General features: G+C 54.4%; 2 long non-coding RNA genes across 2 annotated transcripts in view, besides 2 other annotated features; one reads left to right on the top strand and one right to left on the bottom strand.

Annotated features, from left to right (window-relative positions):
• LINC00620 (long intergenic non-protein coding RNA 620) overlaps positions 1-11345 on the bottom strand; it is a 95915-nt gene extending 84570 nt beyond the window's left edge. The window contains exon 1 of the long non-coding RNA NR_027103.1: positions 11233-11345. This is a non-coding gene — a long non-coding RNA (long intergenic non-protein coding RNA 620). The remainder of the gene's footprint in view (positions 1-11232) is intronic.
• Positions 7032-7532: an enhancer, noted in NCBI's record as "H3K4me1 hESC enhancer chr3:13696034-13696534 (GRCh37/hg19 assembly coordinates)". NCBI's record gives its function as "activates a minimal SCP1, AML or CMV promoter by ChIP-STARR-seq in naive H9 embryonic stem cells {active_cell/tissue: H9 hESC(naive)}" and the evidence as "EXISTENCE:reporter gene assay evidence [ECO:0000049][PMID:30033119]".
• On the top strand, positions 7888-14953 carry LOC100293612 (uncharacterized). Its single transcript, XR_110033.3, has 2 exons — positions 7888-7975; positions 13590-14953. It is a non-coding gene; the product is annotated as an uncharacterized LOC100293612 (long non-coding RNA).
• Positions 13708-13867: an enhancer, noted in NCBI's record as "active region_19493". NCBI's record gives its function as "activates an Ori minimal core promoter by ATAC-STARR-seq in GM12878 lymphoblastoid cells {active_cell/tissue: GM12878}" and the evidence as "EXISTENCE:reporter gene assay evidence [ECO:0000049][PMID:35858748]".
• Positions 14954-19603: the final 4650 nt, after the last annotated feature.

Raw genomic sequence — 19603 nt, 5'->3', positions numbered from 1 at the left:
CTTACCCACACCAAACTCCATACTGTGGCTTCAAGGTGCTGCACACCTTCTGGCCATGTGGCCTCTCTGATCGCCCTGCACCCAGTCTGCTACTCCCCGGCCTTGCACAGTATTCAAGCGCACCAGGCCCATGCCTGCCTGGGGGCCTCTGCCTGGGATGTGCCTACCGCCTGGAAGGCCCCTGTCTCAGACGCCTACTTGGCTCACTCCTCCTCTTGCAAATGTTTGCCCAAGAGTCACCTTTCCAGTGAGTCTGTCATTGACCATCGCCTCGCCATCACTCCAACCCCTGCCATCTCTCCCACCCCACTTCCTGCTTGGGTTTGTTCCCTAGAGCTTAGTGCAGGCCATTTATTTGCCTATTTGTTTTGTTAATTGACTGTATTAATTGACTCCTGGAGGGCAGAGACTTTTCCTTTGCCCAGGGCATATGACAGTGTAGGCCCAATCAGATCATGGCCTCCACCTGCCTCCAGAACAGGCATTAAAATGCCCCAACCTCCTAAAGGCCAGAACCTACACAAAGTAGGTACAAAATTCATACTTGACTCAGAACCGAGAGGCCATCAGATGGAAGCTCAGCTCTGACCCTGATAACCCCCTCCGCACCCACTTGGGTGCCTGGAACTTGTTCTGGGGCGCCCTTCACCCCCTAGTCACCCGTCAGCGGAGCCAGACCTCTGGAGTCTGCACAGACAACTCTGCCTTAAAAACAGCAGGCATTCCTGGGCGCCCCCCTCCCACCACCCCGGCCCCGGGGCTCTAGTGCACACAGGCACGTGTACAAACAGGCCGGCAGGAGCAGATTCCAGGAGCTGAGGGAGCAGCCTGCGAGCCCAGAGAGGCTGCCCACCAAGGGGCACCAGCAGCCCCCGCCCTGCGACAGCCCCACATCTGCTACCTGTGCTCCTCGGCACACACGCCACACACACACGCCACATACACACATGCATGCACACATGCCATGCACACACACACACTGTGTTTGGAAATTCCAGAATCTTATAATTTTGAAAACTCATTTATTTCAGCTTAGCCCACATTCTGTTCTTAAAGCCTGGGTCATGGAAAACTGTGCCTTTCCAGAGCCTCAGAATCTCCAAGACTCAAAGCAGAAGGACCCGACGAGATTGTCCTGTGGCAGAGTCAGCTGGTAGACCCCAGGACAATCCTCCCCTTCTTTCCCTGAATTTCAGCTGGGCTCCCAGAATAAAGCCCTCACTTTCAGCCTCTCTGGCATCTAAGGGTGGCTGTGTGATGAAGCTCTGATCAGTAGGATATAAGCAAAAGTGTCCCACATCAGCTTCCAGGAGCCTTTCCTAAAAGACATCTGATACCCACAGTCTGTCCTTTTTTCTTCTTCCCTCCTACTTAGAACTTAGATGTGATGGCTGGAACTCTGGCAGCCATCTTGGACCACAAGGACCAGATTTCCTCCTTGGTTAGGTGGAGCCAGGAGCTAGAAGGAAGCTGTTCCCCATGCCAGATCTGTACCACCTACCTTGAGGCTTAAATATGAATGAGATAGAAATTTCTCCTTTCTTGAAGCCATTGTTCTTTGGGTTTTTCATTTACAGTCCAACCCTCCTATTGCATAGATGGGGCAAGTGAGGCCTGAGTCAGGCATTGACCCATGCGATGAGTCAGGGCAGAGCCAGGGCAGAACTAACAGCACCTGCCTTGACCTCTTGTGAGCCCCTAGGATACCTTGGTTCTGACTCACCCTTAAGTCTCAGGACTAGAGGTCTTCAGGGGTCCAACAGCCCAACACCTGCCCCTTTCACAGCATTACTGGCAGATGGTCAGCCAGGTGCTGCTTGGACATCTCAGGTGACTGGGAGAATGGTTCCTCCCTCCCAGTCCAGCCCAGTCCTGCTGAGTTCCAACTGGGAAACCCGGGCCACACACAGAGGTGGAATTGGCCTCCAGTCCTTGGCCCCAGCTTACCCTCTGGGCTCACGCAGGGGCAGAGACCAGGACTCCCTGAGGCTGCTTCTCTCCAATCTCATGGGCATTTGCTGCCCTGCCACTCTCTGAATTCTGCTTTTGGGAAGAAGTTCAAGCAGGAGAGAGCAGGGAAGAAAATACAGACTCATTGGGGCCTTCTCAGACTCTGGGCTTTGATCTCAGTGGATAACAGAGCAGCGGAAGCTCACCCAGGCCTCCCATGTCACAGGAAGGGACCCAGCGCGTGTTGAGCCCTGGCTGTAGACCATGTAGAGCACTGAGTGCTTTTCATACACTGTCTGCTTCAATTTCCATACAATGCTCTAAGGAAGGCCCAAATATTCACCCCATTTTACAGATAAGGAAACTGAGGTGCAGAGAAAGTTGCCTAGGATGGCCTTGCTAAAACATTCATCTTCCACCCAGGTGTGTCCCACTCCAAGATGTGCACTCTTTCTGGGCCCAACCATGCCCCTCAAACCTCGAGCAGGTCTCAGTGCTGGGTCTGCCACTGGCCCACTGCTCCTCAGCATCCCACGCCCACCCCACGTCCCAGTCAGGACAAGACTCCAACTTGCAGCAGAAATTATGAATAAGGCAAAAGAAAGTTGTCCTGGCCCCTGTGCATGCCTTAAGTATTTAAATTCTTTTTCATAATTATCTCAAATAGTAATTATTGCAGGAGCAATGCGCTTATCGCAGACATGAAACCACCTGCCTTCCCATTTTTGTCAAAAGTGGAAACACTGACATTATTTTTGCGATTCGTTTCAATAGCTGTTTTCACTGTAAATACCACCTTAACCACAAGAAAAATACCCCGGGAGACGCTGGAGGTATTGGAGGTTTCAGAGGAATTATTCCAAGAGGGCTGTGGGTGTCTCCCAAGCACACAGAGAGAAAGGAACATGGAAAACTGTTTCCTCTCCAAGCCAAGGGGGAAAGTGCACCCCGGGGAAAAGTCCCGTGGAAGGGGGCTCACAGGTGCCCCCCCAAGTCCCCTTCCTCCTCTCTGCATCCAACTGCCATCCACACTGCCACCTCCACCCACCCACCCTGGGCTGCCCACCTACTGGAAACACCTCATTCCCTCTGAAAAACATCAAAATCAGGAGGCTCCCTCCCAGGCACCATCGGGAACTAGGGGCCGCAGCTCCAATAGGAAGTTCGAAGAATTCAAAGACTAGAAGGGACCAGATTTCCAAGAATGCAGCTTTCCAAGATTACACAGTCTGGCATGGGTGTGGGCGGGGGGAGGTTGGAGAAGAAAAAGGAACATCCGGAGCTGCAGCCTGAGAAACCACCTGCCCTAGAAGGGAGGGCCCCAAGACATGGTTGGATGAGCCGTGAAGGGAAGCAGGCATCTTGGATTCTAGTCCTATGCCTGCCACAGGGTGGCCTTGGCCAGGCTGCCAACCCTCTCCCGACCTCAGCGTCCCCATCTGTCAAATGGACAAAAGTCTTGAGGGGACCCCTGGGCCTCTCATTCCTGGTGAGTATATGGTGGGCAAACACCTCTTCTTCCCAAGCTTCAATGTTCTCCTCCGAATAGCAGGTCTCTCCCGACTCTAAGCCCCCAGGTCATCAATGCAATTGTCATGATTACTAGTTATTGTCACTGGGCATTGACTAAGTGCCAGGATCTGTGCATGCATTATGCATGTGTACCTGGCATACAGAAGATCCCCACACCATAGTCCTACCATCACTTTACGAGGGTGGAAACTGAGACTCAGGGAGTTGCCCAAAGTCACACAGGTAGTTGTGTGAGGCACACATGGTTGCAAGAAGACAACGTTCCCGAGCACTTGCGATGTACCCCCCTAGAGATGAAACTCTGCTTGCTGCCACTTCACAGATGCAGGCATGGAGGCTTGAAGAGATGAGCCTTCCAGAGCAGTGGAGTGGAGCTGTAATTTCAGCAGGCACTGTTCATGCTGCTTAGGAGGGAGGAACTTTCGAAGAGAGATGTGATGCTGGGTACAAAGAAGCAGCAAGGGAGGGGTCCTGTCTCCAGCCCCGGCTACCTGGGAGTCCCCAGGGTGCTCAGATTCAGTCCTCACCCTCCGCCCTCGTCCCAGCCGTGTTCTCTGCTGCCTCCGTGTGGTCGCTGGGGTTGACGCAGCCTTCCGGAGCCACGCAGCTCTGGGGCTGTGGAGCTTTGGGGCTGTGGAGCTCTGGGGCTGTGGAGCTTTGGGGCCGTGGAGCTTTGGGGCTGTGGAACGGGCTTGAGTAAGGAAGGGGTGACTGCACCGGGCAGAAGGCAAGAGGGCACTGGGGTGCAGGGCACAGTACTGCCCGGGAGTCTCGCTCACTACACTCCAGCCACGCCTCTTGTCAGCACATTCCCACTTCCCAGCCTTTGCTCCTGCAGGTCCCTCTGCCTGGCGCACTCTTCGCTTCGCTTTTCACATCATCCCATTTCCCGCCCAATGGCAGCCCCGCTGTCTAACCAAGGCCCCTCGCTGGTGCCCTCTGACCCCAGTCCTGCTTTGTTGTTCATCTTCCTACTTGTCTCCATCTAATGTCATACTATCGATTTGTTTATTTGTTGACTATCAAATTCTCCAGTAAAATAATATCAGCTCCAGTGTCTGGCACACAGTAGGTGACCGATAAAGACTTTTGGAAAAATAACTGCATGAACATTTCCACTAAATAGCTGTCCCAACTTGTTCACCCCCATACGGCAGCTATGAGTAAAACTGGGAGACTTCTTCATAAGCTTGGGACCTGTCTTCCCAAGGTCCCGGTCCTGCCCACAGATCTACCAGCTCCTCCTAACCCTTCTGCCCCAGGACAACCCTGCAGAGAATTAGGGACAGCAGTGGGGACCCCCTCCAAGCTGAGCCACCCCATCTCCTGACAGAATGCTGTCTCCAGGGCTTGCTGTTCATCTCAGGGTCCACTGATGTGTCTGGAGCTGAGCATAGGAGCCAGAGAGCTCAGAGAATAAAGCAAAACTGGATGTCCCCTCCCTCGTTGCAAGTATAGACCTTTGGTAATGTGGCCTGACAGACACAGTCATCCACTCAACAAATATATCTTCATGCTGCTCCATGCTGATACAGAGGGGTCTATAGAAATGAATCAGGCATGGACATTGCTCATGCAAGAGACATACGGGCTTGGCCCACTTCGTCCTACACACCTCTGTCTGGCCATGTGGCTTTGGGCAAGTCCCTTATCCTCCTCTGCTTCAGTTCCATGTAGGTACAGTGCGAGGCTACTGAAGATGGTCACAAAGCCCCCATCTCACTGATGTTGAACCTGTCCCTGCTCTGAATCTGTGCCTTCATAAGCACCCACACCTGGTGTGCCCACCTGCCCCCTCTCCAACTACTGTTCACCTCCCACTTGCTGCTCAGGGCATGGAAGCCACAGCAGGGAAGAGGGATGGATGGCTCAGGGGACAACCAGGGGCACCGAGGGCTGCCCTCCACCTGCCCAGCACCTTTCGAGGATGGCCCGACAGCTGTTGTCATCACTCTCTCCTGGGAAGAAGGAGACAGCCGGCCCAGTCTCCCCATGAAAGCCTCCCTTGCTGTGTGATAAAGTAGGGGAGACTCCTCCCCATGTTTGCTAAGCACCTATGTGTGCTACACCCCATCCCTGACGTGCCCCGCATGAGAGGCAGCAGTGCCCATTTTACAGATGGGGAGCCTGGGGCTCAAAGTGTTTTGCAACTGGCCCCTGCCACCTAGCTGGTTTGCATCTCCAAGGCCTCAGTCTTGGCCTGGCACAGACTTCACCACTGTGGCTCAATGTACTGGGGCCTCTCATTTTCCTTTTCTTCCCAGGAAGAGAAAATTTTGGACCAAATATTCCCTGCAAGGTAGATCCTGCTATCTTTCTCAAGACCCTGAATCTCTGTGCTCCAATGTAAGTCTCTGGGCTCCTGACCCTGTGAGTCCAATCCACTGTAGCGAGTGATGGTAATCATCACCTCGGGTGCTGTGCTAGAGCTTAACTGCACTGGGTGTCCAGTCCTTGCCACAACCCGATGGGGCTGGTACCATCAGCAGCCCCATCTCACAGATGGGAAACCTAGGCCCAGAGAAGTTAGGGGACTTGCCTGGAAAATGGCAGAGCTGGGATTTGAACCCAAGCCATCCGGGTGCCTCATGGCTACACTGTACTGAAACTCTGAGGGCAGGGGTCCTGAATTCTGCCGCTGAGATTCCAAAGCAGCGATATTATAGACACCTAAGAGAGTGTCATCTCCTTAATGGGATGTTCCCGGGACTTCCTCCTCCTGCTCTCTGGGAAAGCCTTCAGGCCCAGAAAAGGATGGCACCTGTCTGTGCCTTCCAGAGAGGTGGCCCAAGGCGCCCTGCAGTCTCTGGTTATCTCTGGGCAGCCACTCCCCTCGAAAGTGCGAGGGGGAGGTGGCTCCCTGGAGGAGGGGTCCCCTAGGGTTAGCTTGGCAGGTCCCTCCAACCCAGGTCCCACTCACACAGGCACTAATGGCACTAATGGGGGAAGCCAGGGCGGAGCGTCGAGGGGACCATCACGCGCCCCAGGGGCAGTGGGCAGACGCAGCAGGGCAGGCGGCCGGCGCGGATGGGTCTTGGGCGCGCCTGGGAGACCCTCAGGCCTCGCGCGTCCCCGGCGCCGCAGCGGCCCCTGGCGGCGGGCGACCTCCGGCTGAGGCCCTGGCCTTGGGCGCGGGCGGGCCCTTCCTGCTTAGCTGGACGCGCCGGGCGGCCGGGGCGCCGGGAAGAGGAAAAGGCGCTCAAGGCCCGGCCGGGAGCGGCTCGGGGACGGCCGCGGGCGGGCAAGGGCGGAAGGCGGCGGCCGGGCGGCTGCCAGCGGGAGGAACCGGCCCCTTGGCCGGCCGAGCCTCGCCAACTGCTGGAGGGAACCGTCCCCACAGGGGCCTGGCGTCCCGGCCCCAGCCCCGGCCAGGGGCTGCGGGTTGAGCCCGTCGGAGAGCCTGGCGGGCTGGAGAGCGACCACCCGGGATCAGGGACACTCCTGCTGCAGCGCCGTCCTGGGGCTACCTGGGCAAGGAGTTGGCATCCCATCGCCCAGCTGTGCTCACGAGCAGGTCCCCCTTCCTGTATCGCCCGGCCCTAAGGGGGAACCTGAGGCAGACGGGATGTCTCCAGTTGTCGCCACGCCTAGGGCTGCCATGTGTCACTCCCCGCCAAGCCCACATCCTGCCCCAGTGGGCATGGGAGCAGGGAGGTGGGCCAGGCACTGGTTTGATCAAAGCGGAGCTGTGTGCAGAGGGAGTGCCAGGGCTAGGGGCACAGAGGACGATGGGGGAACTGTCTAAAGCCACTTGAGGTGAGAACACACTCCTGCTTCCCGGTGCCCTGGGTCCTGATGCCCCTGACCTTCCACTCCTAACCTGGTACACTGCCCTTTCATCATCTGCTTTACAATCTAGTGAAGCAAATTGCAAGCTGGGGGCTGGGAGCAGGACGGCCAGAGCAGGGCCAAGTAGAGGCTACTGGCCCCTCAAGAAGCACAGACTCCTCCACAGAAGGGGGCCCCCCAGAAAGCAGGCCCTGGGTCTAACAAAGGGAGGCGGATGCTGCCTCTGCTGGAGCCTCCTGCCTCTGTTTCCATGGCAACCCCACTTCCAGGACAAAGCAAAGGCTCAGCATTCCCAGGACACGTGAGCGGGCAGGGAGAGAGCCTGGGCCTTACGGAACAGAAGGGGAAACTGAGGCCCAGAAGGGCAGCAACTTGCTCTCAGTCCCCAGGACATGGCCCGGTTTCCCCCATCACAACACCCATCATGCCAGGGTCTGTCTCCCAGGGGCCCCCAGATTATACTCCTGCAACTAAATATATTAAGCAATAGCCACAAGTGAACGTGCCTTGAAGACACTCATACAAGAGTGAGGAGGCGGATGCCAGGCGTTGGGAAGGGTATTGTAGATATGGCAGTCAGCACAGGCCACTCTGACGAGGTGACATCTGAGGAGAGACCTGAGTGACGGGAGGGAGGGAGCTTTATGAACACTGAAGCCAGCATGTGCCAGGCAGAGGGACCGGCAAGTGCAAAGGCCCCGAGGTGGGAATGGGCTCACTGAGCTGTGGACACGGCAGAGAAAGGGGAGGGAGAGGAGGTTCAGGGGGCGGCAGTGCCAGGACTCTGTGGGTCTCACAGGCCACGGCAAGGAATGTGACTGTATCCTGGTGTGATGGAAACCATGGGGCTGGGAGCTGAGAACAGTCATTAGTCATAATGGCTTAGCCAGCTGTGAGGAGCAAGGTAGTGACAATGGAGGGTGAGGGTGTGGAGAAGAGAGGAGGCAGAGGCCTCCGAGGAGGCGATTGCAGTGACGTCGGTGAGAGACGCAGGTAGTGGAAGCAGGCCGGGGCAGTAGAGGTAGGGGAAGAGGCAGGAAGTGGCGAGTGCTGGAGTGGGTGGGCGGAGGGCTGTGCAAGACTCACCGCTGGCTAGGAGATGAGGGGACGGGCAGGGGCCAGGCTGTCCAGGTTTCCGACTGAGCAACTGGGTGACCAAAGACACCATCTCCTGCGTATCCCCTGATCCAACTGGCCTTGCGCCTCCTCCCATCTCCAATTCCTTCCGCTGCAACCCCTGGATTCAGATTGCTGCCAGCAAACCCACTAAAACCACCTCTTCCCTTACCTCCTGCCCCTGGAGCCCCAGCCCACGTTTGGGGCCCTTGTTGAGGAGGCGCCCTCTCAAGCCCCAGGTCTGGAGATACAGTGTGCAAAGGATGGCCCAGCAAAGACCATGTGCGTTGGTACTGGCAAGGGGAGCTCCCCAAAAGAAAATGGGGAACACTGCAGGCAGGCACATTAGCTGAGGTTCTGTGGACATGTGCTATCCAAGAGCCCCAAAGGGTGGCTACTAAGGCAATGCCCATTTACAGTTGCGGAAACAGGCCCCAGGAGGCAAGATGTCCCAGCCGATGTCTCTCAGCAGGACAAAGACGCTAGCAGTGTTCACTTGGGACCTAATCTGCAGTTGCCTCCTGCCAACCCCCAACCCCGGCCCACCCCGCACCCCAGCCAGCTCCCAGCCCTCAGGCTTTGCTGGGCCCCCTGCAGGGATGGCTCAGCACCAGACCTAGGGCGTGGGCCTGGTGACCAGGTCTGGGGGTGGGAACATCAGGGCATAAATCCTGACCCAGCTGACAGTGCCCCGGGGCAGACACAGAGGCCCTAGTGTCACCTTCCTGTCCCCACCCTTCCTGGCATGTTTCACAAGGTCAGAGGTGCTGGGTGGGGTGAACAAGCACATAAACCTTGGCCCCAGCCAGGTCAGCCTTGAGCTTCCGACCTGATAAATGGACAGAGAAGAGGACGAGGCCTGGCCCTGCACTGACCTTTAGGGCCAAGAAAGAGTGAGTCACAGAGGGCCAAGCTGCAGTGGGGATATCCAGGGGCCTGAGTGGAAGCCACAGCCAAGCCCCATCCAGGAGCATGCAGAGAGGGACCTGGAGCAGATACCTCAGGTGTTGGGGTGGGGTGTCCAGCTCACAGGCCCAGCCTGGGCCTCCTAACACCAAATGCAGCCACCACCACCCCCAGCCTGCTCCTCCCTTCAACTCTGGCTCCAGCCTGGACATTGGACAAACTCCGATTGCCACCTGAGTAGCTGGAAAGGACCCAGCCCTTCTCTCAAGCAGTTCATGAGGAGGGGGGCGGGTGGAGTGTGCACGCACACATTTGCTTATTCATTCGACACGCATTTGTTAGTGCCTGCTTTATGCACGGTGCTAGGTGCTGGGGACTCGGATCTTATTTTGCTGCATCAGTCCTGAGAAGGACTACCTGCAGGGATGTGTGAGGGCGGTGGGGGCACACAGCAGGCAGATGCCAACTCTGTGTGGGGTGCTCAGAGCTGAGCATTGCAGGATGCGTAGGAGTTTGCCAGGTACAGAATGGGCAGAGGCGTGGAGATGAGAAGGGTCTTGGAGGGTGCTAGGAAGGGCTGGTGGCCAGGGTGGCTGGAGTGCAGGGAGTGGACGGGGAGTGATGGGCAATGAATCTGAAGGGGGCAGGGACCGGAATGTCAGGCCATGGAACTGGGACTTGATGCCGTGGCAATGGGGAGTCATGGTGGGGTTTACACAGGGGAGAGGCCAAAAGCTCAGTGTCCTCTCTGCTAGCTCAGCCCCAAACATCTTCCTCTCACCTCCTGACGCAGCAGATAAGGACAGCAAGGCTCAGAAAGGCCAGGTTTCCTGTCCCTCCCCGATCCTCAGCCCCTCATCACCCGTGGCTGGACTCCCTGTGTGGCCTGGGCCAAATATTCAGCTCTTCTGGGCCTCAGTTTCTGTGTCTGTAAAACGGGGATCATCATGGAAGGAAGGAAGAGTTTAGTGAGGTAAGAAGGCTACACAAGTAGCCCGCCTGTCTCCCTCAGGGGAGGCAAGACAGACTGGTTCCAGACCATTTGCTACCCCAGGAAATGGCTGGGCAAGGTCTCTCTGAGAGCTGGAATGACCAGGCTGAACACAGGGCTGTAGGTCAGGCATCTGCTAGAACCCAGGTACTAGAGATCAGAATGCCCTATACACACACACACACACACACATACACACACACCCAGAACAGTGGCAGACACCCCCTCCCCTCCTCAGATGCGTTTCACCAGGTTCCCCCACACTCACAGCCACGCGCCTACAGAGATGCAAACTCACACACAGCTCCCGGTGTCCTGCAGGCCTCAGGGTAGCCCTGGTCCCAGTGTGCTAGGGACAGTCCCACCTCATATCCACTGCCTTGGCCTAATTAGCAGTGCCCCTTTCTTATTCATGTCCATGTCCACAATAAACTGTCTGATAAACCACTACATAGCGGACACACTGGTGTTGCCTTTCCTCTCCAGAGAGGTTCTCAACCATGCATGTGTGTATGTGTACACACGTGTGTACATGCAAGTGTGCGTGTGCATGTGTTCATGTGCGTGTCTGCGTGCATGTGTGTCTGCTTGTGTGCATGTTAGTGTGTGTGCGTGTGTGTGTGCCAGAGACGCCTTTGGCAGTCTGGGCAAGCCTGTAGGCTCTTAAATGCCGATTAGATTTAAATTATAGTTATCAGAATACTAAAAGGGGTCTGTGACGTGGCGCTACCTGGGCTTCCTTCTTAACCCAGTGAATGACACGGTCTAGCAGCGGGTCTAATACCCACTGCAATTTCAAAGTACTAAGGAAGGAAAGCGAGATTGCGCCATCTCTGAAATCAGTAGTGCTACTATAGCTCATTGCGTTCATAATTAAAGGACATGCTATGTTCCAATTAGAGTACAAAAGATGTTATTTCTGCCCATCCACGTTCACGCACCCCCACCTCGATTTCTCTCCAGGTCCTGAAAGCTGCTGTGCGACGCGGTCCTCGGACCTGGCCACCTGCCTCGCCCCGGCCGGGCCTGGCCTGCACTGGCCCGCACCGGCCCGCACCGGTCAGCACCGCCTCGCACCGGTCAGTACCGCCTCTCCGCTGTCCGCTCCTGCGCAGCCGTCCGCAGTTCCGCATGCCACCGCCAGGTGTCGCTGCACACACGCCGTGGCCCCGAGGCTCCTCTGCAAGCCGCTCCGCGAGGCTCTAGGGGGCCCCCCAGGGTCCTGTTTCCCGCGGCCCGCAACTTATCTGTGCACAGAGCACCCCCACGCTGCGCTAGGAACTTCCGCTGCTCCCCCACCACCTCACTCCTTCGTGCCTTTGAGCATGCTGCCTGCAGTGCCTGCCCTGATCTCCGGCTGGGTGATTCCTGCTGCACGTCAAAACCCACTGGAGGCAACACCTCCTCCAGGAAGCCTTCCCTGATGCCACTATAATGGCCCCTCTTGAGTTTCCACAGCCCCCTGTGTCTGCCTCATCATTGCAGTGACTGCCAACATGGTTGTGTCTGTTTCTGTGTCTGACTCCCCACTAGAATGTGAGCTTTGGGAGTATGGGGAGGGCCACGCAGTGGGCTGTTATGTTTTGTTTTTTAAGTAGACTTAATTTTTTAGAACAGTTTTAGGTTCCCAGGAAAACTGAGCAGAAAGTACAGAGAGTTCCCACACACTCCCTGCCCCTACACGTGCACAACCTCCCCTCTATCAACATCCCCAGCAGAGGGGTGCATGAGGGACCTGCACTGCCACATCAGTGTCACCCACAGCCCATGGTTTACGTGAGGGCTCATTCTTGAAGCTGTACATTCCATGTGTTTGGACAAATGTACAACGACCCTTATCCACCATTATTGTATCACACAGAATAGTGTCACCGCCCAAAAAATTCTCTAAACTCCACCCGTAATCCCCTGTGCTCCCTTCCCCCTAACCCCTGGCAACCACAGATCTTTTTACTGTTCCCATAGTTTTGCCTTTTCCAGAATGTTGTATTGTTGGAATCATACAGTGTGTAGCCTTTTCAGATTGGCTTCAGATTGGCTGGGCCACATGGCAAAACCCCGCCTCTACAAAAAATACAAAAATCAGTTGGGCGTGGTGGTGCATGCCTGTAGTCCCAGCTACTCAAGAGGCTGAGGTGGGAGAATCACATGAGCCTGGTAGGTTGAGGCTGCAGTGAATCGTGATTGCTTCACTGCACTCCAGCCTGGGTGACAGAGAAAGACCCTGTCTGAAAAAAAAAAAAAAAAAAAAAAAAAAAAAAAAAAACAGCCAAACTGTTTTCCAAAGTGGTTGTGCCATTTTGCATTCCCACCAGCAATGAATGTGAGTTCCTGGTGCTCCACATCCTCGCCAGCATTTGGTGTGTTAGTGCTTTGGATATGAGCCACTCCAGTAGGTGCGTGGCAGTATCTCATGGTTGGTTTAACTTGCAGCTCCCTAATGATATACCTATGTGGAGCATCTTTCAGGTGCTTATTTGCCATCTGTGTATCTTCTTGAATGAGGTGTCTGTTTAGATCTTCTGCCCACTTTTTAATTGGGTTGTTTTCCTATTATTGAGTGTTAAGAGTTATTTGTAGATTTTGGATAATAGTCATTTATCAGCTATGTCCTTTGCAAATATTTTCTCCCAGTCTGTGGCTTTTCTTCTCATTCTCCTGAGCAATGAGGTTTCCCTTACAGAGTTGAATCCCTGTGTGGCCCTAGGCAAGTCATACACTCTCTCTGAACCTCAGTTTCCACCTCTATAGATGGGGCTGGGAGCCCTCCCTCCAGGTTGTAGGTGGGAACAGGATCTGAGCAACGCAGAGCCTGCCAGCACAGAGCCTGGACACGGCAGGGGCTGCCGGTAGATGCTGGTGGAACTGAGTCACCTCCATTCCCTTGGGGGTGCATTTTGCCCACAGTTCCATCATTAAAGCCCCTAGCTATCAACGATGGTTCCATCCATGGCAGAGCAGGCCAGGCCAAGCCAGCCCACAAATCTGTTTGCAGGAAGATTCCTGTGGTTGGAATCCCTTGGTCTTAGGAATGGGTCAGAGGAGCAGACCCCAGGGAGCCCTTGGGATCATGGACAGACCTACTGTTCAAGGGAGGGGTGGCCACTCTGCCCAAATTCCCTCAAGGACCACCCCTCACTCAGTATCCCATCCTCTCCCCACTTGGTCCCCACAGACCTCTGGCCTCTGCTCCCACCGCACCTTTCCCTCCAGCCACACTGGCTGTGGGAAAGCCTTGCAGCCCTTCCTGCAGTCAGAAACACCTTTCCCCCGTGCCACTTGTCCAAATCCACCCCTCCATTAGTTGCAGGCAGAGCGGCCAGGCTGGGGCTGCAGCCACGAGGGGGCACTGTTGCCCCGCAGCTGCGTCAGAACTCATCCACAAAGCTGGAAGGTGCTTCTGTCCCACCAGCTTGCAGAGCGGCAGGCGAGGAGAATGCCTGTCTCACAAAGCTATGGAAGCTAAACGAGGGGAACGTCAGTGGCCCCATCCCACACCCGGGACCTGCTGGGGCCGCTCTGATACCTCCTGCGATGGGTGCTCACTGCCTCCAGCCAGGCTGCCCAGCCCTTGGCGGGAAAAGCTCTGCCTGGAGACAGGGCTTTGCAGTGGACCCAGTCTATTTTGCAGAAGCCATAAGGTGCTGTGGGGCAACGGGGTCTTCCAAATGAAAAACGTTGAGAAGAACAGATTTACCTTGGGAACCATAAGAAAGAAGCAGTTTGGGGTTTCCAGAGCAGCCCAAAACCTAAAAGGGCACGTGAAATTCCTCAGTGTTGACATGTTGGCTCAAAACTTTTCTAAATATTGTGCCCAAGCCAAGCAATGACCCACTTGAGCCTACAGCCCACAGGATGGGATGCTGGTTTTGGGTGTAGCTCAGTGACTCAGAGAAAGCAGAACCCTTAGCGCCCGTGTGCAGAACAGCCGGCAAGCAAGCGCGGCACGCCCCTCCACTTGGCACATCTCAGGAAGTGGGATGATTGATGGGGACGCACAGGCTTTCTGGAGGGCAGCCTGAAAAAATGGGGTCAAAACTGGAGTACAGACACCCATGATCAGCAGTTCGCTCCTTGGTTGCATGTCCAGGGAAGTCCACAAATGGGCCCCCTTCTCTGCAGCAGAGTCTGTGGGGTGCGTACCTGGGAGCAGCCTGGACACGTGATCCCAGGGAAAGTGTGGGGTGCCCCTCGGAGGACTCCGTAGCAGGCACCAGCAACAGACAAGATGTGCGCCAACAGGAAGGAACACTTAACACTGCTGACTACACAATCAGGGAGCCGAGTGGCATCCGTAACACCAGGCTGCAAAGCAACTGCAAATATGTGCACCAAAGAGTGCACTGCAGCGAGTGGGGAGGAAGAGAAACTTCACAGTGGAGAGACCCAATCAGCACGACCTCAGCCAGATGGGCAACGCCAGCATCACAAGGGATGCCTCATGTTGACAGCAGCTGCCCTCCATTGGATGTGCTGATCAGGGCACTTTACCTCTGTGATCTTCCTCCCCAGACCCACAATCCCAGTCTAATCATGAGAAAAGTGTCAGACAAACCCCAGTAGCGGGCATCCTACGATGTATCGGGCCAGTCCTCCTCAACTGTCAAAATCGTCAAAACCAAGGCAAGAGCCAGGCATGGCGGCGTGTACCTGTAGTCCCAGCACTTTGGGAGGCTAAAGTGAGAAGATTACTTGAGACCAGGAGTTCAAGACCAGCCTGGGCAACACAGAGAGACCCCCCCCCATCTCAAAACAAAAACAAAATCCCAGAGCTAGTCTAAGAAACCGTAATGTGTATCCCAGAGGAGGTCCTGGGACAGAAAAAGGACATTAAATAAAAGCAAAGGAAAGCTAAATAAAGTATGGACTTTAGTTAAGAATGTATCAATATTGATTGACACATATCTCACTGTGCACATATAGTAATGTAAGGTGTTAACAGTAAACGGAATTAGGTGGGGGACTACTCAGAATTATCTTTGCACCTTTTCTAGAAATCAAAAACTATTCTAAGACTAAAACTTTATTTTAAAAAATACATGCCCACCGCACCACAGTACCCATTTTCTAAACCAATTTTCAGCACAGAGATACACAATGAAGGTGTTAGGATGGAGGCCGGCGGGGCAGGGATGGGGATATTGACACAGCCCCCAGGGACAATGGTGTGGGTGAGTGCCAGCCTTCACCCCCTAGCTCTCCAAAACTAACCCAACAGGAAGGCCAGGGGCCCCAGGCACTCCCCACATGCCCTCTGCATGCCCTGATGGTGGGGCAGCTGCACAGACCTGCCCATCATGGTGTGCCCATCTCTAGCTGGTCCCAGGCTGGCCATGCCCAGAGAGGACAGGCAGGCTGACCCAGGTGTGGGCCCCACAGGCAGCAGGAAGGCCCTGGCAGGGGAGGCCAGCAGGTGGGCTGGGTGCTGCCCTGACCGTGTGGGACTAACACATATGAGTGTGTCTGGGGTCTGGGGACCTGTGTTCCATTCCACACACCCCTCCTCAGGGCCGGGAGAGCAGCGCACATGCGGGAGGGTGGAGATCATGAACATGGGTGTGAATGTCGCTGCTCTAGCTGAGATGGGTCCGCCAGGCTTGTCCAGTCTGAGATGGGTGAGTCACTGTCTTGTCCCTGAGATAAGAGAGGGGCCCAGGCATGAGATACAGCCCAAATGATAAGACTGGCATCCCAGGACCCCACACCATAGCATCCCAATATCCCCAGAGGGATCAGCTCCAGCAGGGCCTCCCTTATAATCCATTCTCCAGCCTACAGCCAGAGGGGTATGGGGAAATGCAGTTCCAAGGCTGTCATCACTGCCCCGTGCTTCAGCTGCTCCCAGTGCTCTGGGGATTTGCTCAGAGCCCTGGTGGAGGCTCGTGGTGCCTTGCTGACCCTGCCTCACCCCACCCCCTCCACCCTCATCCCTCATCCAGTCCTTCCAGGCAGATCAGGCTTCTCCGCTTCAGAAGCTTTGCACGTGCTGTTCCCTTGGGCTGGCATGCCCTTCCCTGCTTTTCACTGCATCCAGCTGGACTTTTTTTTTATTATGTTCAACAGAAAATTCACAATCAGGTCTTCGGCCTGCCACTCAGCTCTGCCTGCCCTTCCCCTTCAGGAGACAGGTGCCGCTTTGTGAGCTGCCATAGGCTTTCTGCCTCCCGCTTGGCCACCAACCTCCAACTCACAGCTCAGACTCTCTCATCCCTCTGCAGGGCAGTATAACTCAGCAGTCCAATTCCTCTGGTCTTTGTAGCCATCATTCCCTCAAATTTTTCCAATGCCTGCATCAGCATTCCCAGCCACAGCATTCCCTCTACCAGCATTCCCTGTGAGTGTTCCCGGGCCACCACTGGTGCCATCTTTAGCAATCGTGCTGCCACCTTGTGCTGGGGAATATCTGTGCCCCAACCACCAATGAGCTCCAGTAAAAACTCTGGATACCAAAGGCTCAGATAAACTTCCTTGGTTGTTTATCCTCTTTGTGTATTATCATACATCATGTCTGGGAGGAGGTCACACCATCTGAGACAACCAGAAACTCCATGTTTGGACCCTTCCTGGACTTTGCCCTCTGTGTCTCTCCCCTTGGCTGGCTTGGATGTGTATGCTTTCACTATAATAAAATTGTAATAAGTATAGCACTTTCCTGAGTGCTATACTTTTCTTTGAGTCATTCTAGTGAATGATTGTATCTTAGGGTGGTTACAGGGACCTCTGACTATGTCACCAATTGATCTGAAGGGACGGTGATCCTGGAAACCCCATTCTCGGCTGGTGCCTGAAGTAAGAGCAGCCTGGTGGGGACTCCTTCCTTAAACTCTATCATTTGCTGAACTCCTTACAGTTGGTGTCAGAGTTGGGACTTTCTAGACCAACCCTGACTCACTGGAACATGTGGTTTGGGAAGAGTAAAAGGGTAGGAGCTGAGGAAACTTTCATTCCTGGTGGTGGCTGTGCTGCAATCCATTTTTTGTCTTTTTTTTTTTTTCAAGTACACTTGCAGGTAGAACCAATACAATCAATTTTTTGTAAGGTAAAAGTTATCAATGGAATTTAGAAATGAGGGATCCAACTCCTAAGCAGTTGGCTCACTAGAATATAAGGAAATGCAAAGAAACAACAAAAAAGGAAAATGTGAAATCCCTTGGTTATTGTTATCTGCAGTGGTTAAAAGGTAAGTGAGTGTAGGAAGGGACCCTGGTGCTGAGCCAAGATTCTGGTCAGCCTGGACCACAGCCTCTAGCCTGAAGCCCTACCCAAGGAATGTGTGGGGTAGATTCCGATGCTGGGCCAGGGTACAGTCAGTTGACCCAAGGTGTAGCTACTGGCCTCAGAGCCTCCTCCAAAGGGAAAAGTGTGCCGAGACAACAGATAGTAAAGGTTTTCATAAGAGCATGGACAAAACAAAGGGGTAGGACCAAGGAGAGAGTCAAGGGACTCATCCCAGCAGGGTGGAAGCTTTTAAACAGGTGTTAAGAAATAAGATGAATAAAGTGGATATTGATGAGGACGAAACAACGGTCTCAATGCAGCACTCACAGAAGCTGGATGGACCCTGCCGGCCGCCCAATGTGAAAAGGCCCTAAAAAATCTGCTTTATTCATTCTAGTTCGGAAGATTTTTAAAACCTGGGAGGCCTAAAATGACAGTGAGAATTCTGATCTCAAGTTGCCTGAGGCAGTGGTCTCACAATCTAACCAGGAGAAGGCCTGAGTCTCTCGGCCCACCCCCTAGCTGGGGACCCAAAGCCATACACACACGGGTGAGTGAAATGGCCGGGGGAGGAGAACAGACTCCGTCTGTGGGAGCCTCTGCTCTGTGATTCCAAACCTGTCAGCGAAGCCCGAATGGAGGCTCTCGTTCAATGGGGAGGATTTAGAAATGTGATGGTTGACGGAATTAAGGTGGATACTTAGGTGAAAACTGGAATGTTGGAACAAATTCTCTGTGAAGTGCCTGCACCTGCTTTATCGGAGCATATGCTGGGGATAGAGATGGTCTGGCTGGGGAATGCTTCTCCCACCAATTGCTGTAAAATAGAAGGCAGGTAAACCTGCCCTTCTGGCAATAGTGATTGAAGACCAGCATCTGGTCAGCTGATTCAGACTTTGGAGGGTACACACTCCACGTCCAGGAATATTGCAACTCCTTCCCATAAAACTACCCCCAAAAGCCCTGGAGTCCTTACACAGACCAGGCTGTACGGCAAAAGCCTGTTAGTGCCACCCAGGGGTGACCACTGGGATTTGGGACTAGAAAATTTTCATTGGAGAGACAATGATTGCATTTTGACTGAGGCCACTCTTATGATTGAAGGCTATAAAATAATCTAAAAATCTGAAATACACATAATGTTCTGGACGATGTCAAAGAAACACCCTAATGGGGAGGGCAACACCCAGAATTTCCTTTTTTTTTTTTTTTTTTTTGTGAGACAAGGTCCAGCTCTGTCACCCAGGCTGGAGTGCAGTGGTGCCATCTCAGCTCACTGCAACCTCCGCCTCTTGGACTCAGGCCATCCTCCCACCTCAGCCTCCTGAGTACCTGGGACTACAGCGTGCGCCACCATACCTGGCTAATTTTTGGATTTTTTGTAGAAATGGGTTTTTGCCATGTTGCCTGGGCTGGTCTCAAACTCCTGAGCTCAGGCGATCTACCCGACTTGGTTACAGGCGTGAACCACCACACCCGGCCCCAGAGTTTCTTAATAAAATGGAAATGGTTTGTGCAGGAATGTGCTGCCTGGGGATGCAAAGGGGTACTTGGCGTAGTCATGAGCAGACAGGCTTTCCCCTAGGGCCAACTTTAGAACCACCCGAGGGGCTGCCAGATCCTACTGTCACTTGGCTGATGCTCTGTGAGAGCTCTTGACTGGCCAGTGTGTACAGATGATGGTTCCAAGGTATGCGGACAGCACAGTTTGGAAGGCCAGCCCTCCAATGGAAGAAGGTGAAAATGAATCAGCTCGGTGGGAGGGACTGCGTGCTGTTCAGTTGTGTGTTTGTGTTTTTACTGATTCATGGGTGACCTTGTCAGACCCTATGGTCAGGCAGGAGGGCAGCGGAAACCTGGCCTATTAAAGGGATACCCGTGTGGAGCACAGCCCTGCAGAATCACCCTGGGAATCTGAGGGGTGCATTAAAGTGGGACATGTTGATGCCCATCAAAGGAACCCCCTTCCAGGATCAAGAAGTGATTGGGATGGCAAGTAGGCGTCCCAGTGTGCTCGCTTGGGGTGGCACCCTGGGTCCACGAAATGAGTGGACATTGGGGCTGCAGATGAACCTAGACACATTCCTCTTGCACCCCCTA

This window comes from Homo sapiens, chromosome 3 (genome assembly GCF_000001405.40).
Source record: "Homo sapiens chromosome 3, GRCh38.p14 Primary Assembly".
Classification (NCBI taxonomy): Eukaryota; Metazoa; Chordata; class Mammalia; order Primates; family Hominidae; genus Homo; species Homo sapiens.
The sequence above is the reverse complement of the archived record's forward strand: the minus strand, read 5'-3'. Positions and strand labels throughout refer to the sequence as shown.